Raw genomic sequence first — 3,340 nt, forward strand, 5'->3', positions numbered from 1 at the left:
ATTAATCCACATTCTTCTCTAGATGCCACCTTATTTCCTTTTTCCACTTGACAAACAAACTTCCCCAAATAATTTTCTATACGCAGTATTCTTAATTTCTCTTTTTTGTGTTTCCTCTTCAACTTACTCCAATCGTGTTTCTATCCCATTCATTCTACTAAACCAGATCCTCCTAAGGTCATCAGTGGAGTCTGTTTCCAGGTTCAGTAGGACAGCTCAGCCCTCACCTTCCCTGAAAGTACCACTGTCTTCCCCTCATTAGACTCTCCCTCATTCTTTCCCATTTCTCTTTCTAATTGCACTGGCAACTTTACCTCAGGCTCCTTTACATATTCTCCTTCTCTGCTCTACCTTTGAATGTTGAGGGTCTGCAGGACAAGGTTATGTCCTCATCTCATTGTCTCCTCTGTTTATAAGTGACTACATTCATTCCTATGTCCTTGTTACCAGACATGCAATAAAGAATCTTAAATTAATACCTTTGCCCATGGGATTTGTTGTTCACTCTAGACCCATATTCCCAATTGCGCATAAGATTTCTGCAATTTCATGTCTCCCAGGCACCTCAAAAAGGACATCTAATATTTTTCTTTCTCAACATCATTTGCACCTAAAGCTTCTAGTATGAGAACATCATTTTCTTTTACTTATCTTTGTAGTGTTTCATATAAGCGAAATTGGTACATCTTTACTGTTTCTTTTCCTGTAAGAATGAAAGCTCTTCAACACGGAAAGAAACTGTGTTTATTCACCTGTATTTCTTTTTTAAAATAACTTTTTAATTTTTGTGGGTACATAGTAAGTGTATATATTTATTGGTTACATGAGATATTTTGATACAGTCATGCAATGAGTACACCTGCATTGCTTGACATCAATTCCAAAATATGCCACTTTGATACTCACTTTATACATATTATGTAAATGGAATGAATGAATAGGTAAGTGTATATTACCGTCCATTCCTTGATTTGGTTCAGAAAACTAGTGTTTGGATTTTGGTTTTCGAATAAATAACTTCAAGAAGTTTTGTTTGAAAATAATTTAATAAATAACAAAATACAATATTTAACCAAATGGAAAGCTGAACATGTTTTGTTATCTTAATACAATGTAAAGGCAAACATTTGTTATATAAGAATATAAATAGTATAAATATGATAAAATGTAAGAATAAATAAATGAGTAAAAATAAATAACATCTTAGGGACTGATGCCCCTGAACCTAAGTCTTTTTAACATATACTGGCTTAATATACCGACAAAGTATTTGCAGAACTAATTCAGTCAATTCTGTGATTAAAGCCGAAATAAGAGTCTTTTGAATTGACCAGAGTCACATGTGCAAGTGTTATATGGCAAATTAATCAATGAGAATCATTTCAAGATGAGCCCAGGTCTCTATCTTTACTTCTCAGTCTTTCTTGCATGTTTGTTGATAAGAACAAGGATTTCATGATTTCCATTCTGACAACTTCCCAGGCACAGTCGCTGTATTTCTTCTCTTTCAGGTAGACACGGATTCCCTGGAAGTACCTCCTCAAGGTCAGTGCAGGGCTGCTAATTGCCCCAGCAGATTCTCCTTCTCCCACTACCTGCAGCAAGCAGGTCTCCAGGTGTTGCAGTTGCTGATGAAGTCCAGTGTGGAGTTGGTCTAGGAGGGTCATGTTCCAGGCAGCAGAGGAGCGCTCTGTGTGGAAGAGGCTGAAGATCTGCTGCAGCATCTCATGGAGGACAGACATGACATGGGCCTTCTGCAACTGGCTCCCTTTTACCATCTCCTGGGGGAACCTGAAGTCTCTTCTGTCCTTGAGACACAAGAAAGGGGAGATTCTCCTCATTTGGTGCAGAAGCACCAAGGTGTTCCTGCTAAGTAGGCCATGGTTCTGAGGCAGATCACAGCCCAGAGATCCAACAGGGCTATAGCTGGTCATCACTAGGGCTGCCAGTAGAGGGAACAGGAGGGCCATTGGGAAATGAGGATGCTCCTGGCTTTACTGAGCTGGGATATGGCTTAACCTTGGACCCTAGGTTTTCTGAAGACATTGCTTGTATGCATGGCTTTTAATAGGAAACACATGGTTTTCATTTTCTGAACATTTCTCTGTACTTTCAGTTTCTTTTACTGTTTTCATTTGTGTGTTCTCCCTATGACCTTAAGAGGATGACAACAATCTATTAATTTTGCATTAGACTTCAGCTAAACTCCAGTAAACTTCAGCTGTGTCAATACAAATGAATGCTTAATCAAATGAAAAACGTCTGGGTACTAAAGTCATAAGTGTATATACTATATGCATGTAAATAATCAGACACACACTACACTAACAATATATATATTATATATTTATGTATACACACTATAGTGAATATATGTATATATGTGTATATATAATATATATTCATATATATATGAAAAAAATCATTTTCTCTGTTCTAGAAGCAAAATTTTAACCCTTATTCTAGCCTCCATTTTTACCCTCCTTACTTTATGTAGGAAGTCAGGCCCTATAGGTTTCTATATTTGCTTCAGGTTTACCAGATCATCTGCAGCAAATAAGCTCTTTAGAACCAAGAACAGCATTTTGCTGTTGTTTGTTTGTTTTTTAGAGATGGGGTCTTAATCCGTCACCCAGGTTGGAGTGTGGTGGCATGATCAGAGGTCACTGCAGCCTTTAACTCCTGGGCTCAAGCAATCTCTGTGCCTCAGCCCCCTGAGTACCTGGGACAACAGGTGTGCACCATCATGCCTGGCTAATTTTTTTGTTGTTGTTGTTGTTAGAGATGAGGTCCCACTATGTTGTTCAGGCTGGTCTCAAACTCCTGGCCTGAAGCTGAGGCCTCCTGCCTCAGCCTCCCAAGTAGTTGGAATTACAGATATGAGCCAAAAACGCAGTTTTGTTTGCTGTTTTATTCACAACAGAGGATGATGATGATTAGCGAATGAGCTTCTCTGACATTTTTCTTCCTTCTAGAAAACATTCATGCAGGTCCATGTGGTTACGCTTCACTGGGACCACAAGGTGAAGATTAATATAGACACTGCTTTTTCTTTCCATCATTTGCTTACTGAGGTCAATAGTGCTCCCCTATCTGTCAATATCCCAGCTGGAATCCTGATTCTTTACAAGCGCATATGGATGTAGAGATTCTAATTCGCAGATATTTTACTTTCCCAGCGTCTCCTCACACACAAGGTAGTTATCACATCTAGTAATACCTTTTCCTCTAGAGTAACAAATACTCTCAACCCAAACTCTTCCAGACTCGCTCCCAGGGAGCAGTCTCACAACATCCTGATAACTTCAGAACTCTTTTGGTGAGAGGGTAGTGGTTACTT

At 38.8% G+C, this 3,340-nt stretch overlaps 1 protein-coding gene across 1 annotated transcript, besides 2 other annotated features; it reads right to left on the minus strand.

Moving 5' to 3' along the window:
- Positions 1-1,031: 1,031 nt before the first annotated feature.
- IFNW1 (interferon omega 1) lies at positions 1,032-2,232 on the minus strand. The gene has a single exon (NM_002177.3). It carries the CDS (start codon positions 1,968-1,970, stop codon positions 1,383-1,385), a length of 588 nt encoding a protein of 195 aa, NP_002168.1. The 5' UTR covers positions 1,971-2,232; the 3' UTR covers positions 1,032-1,382.
- Positions 1,907-2,046: an enhancer, noted in NCBI's record as "active region_28233". NCBI's record gives its function as "activates an Ori minimal core promoter by ATAC-STARR-seq in GM12878 lymphoblastoid cells {active_cell/tissue: GM12878}" and the evidence as "EXISTENCE:reporter gene assay evidence [ECO:0000049][PMID:35858748]".
- Positions 2,137-2,186: an enhancer, noted in NCBI's record as "active region_28234". NCBI's record gives its function as "activates an Ori minimal core promoter by ATAC-STARR-seq in GM12878 lymphoblastoid cells {active_cell/tissue: GM12878}" and the evidence as "EXISTENCE:reporter gene assay evidence [ECO:0000049][PMID:35858748]".

This window comes from Homo sapiens, chromosome 9 (assembly GCF_000001405.40).
Source record: "Homo sapiens chromosome 9, GRCh38.p14 Primary Assembly".
In the NCBI taxonomy this organism is placed as follows: Eukaryota; Metazoa; Chordata; class Mammalia; order Primates; family Hominidae; genus Homo; species Homo sapiens.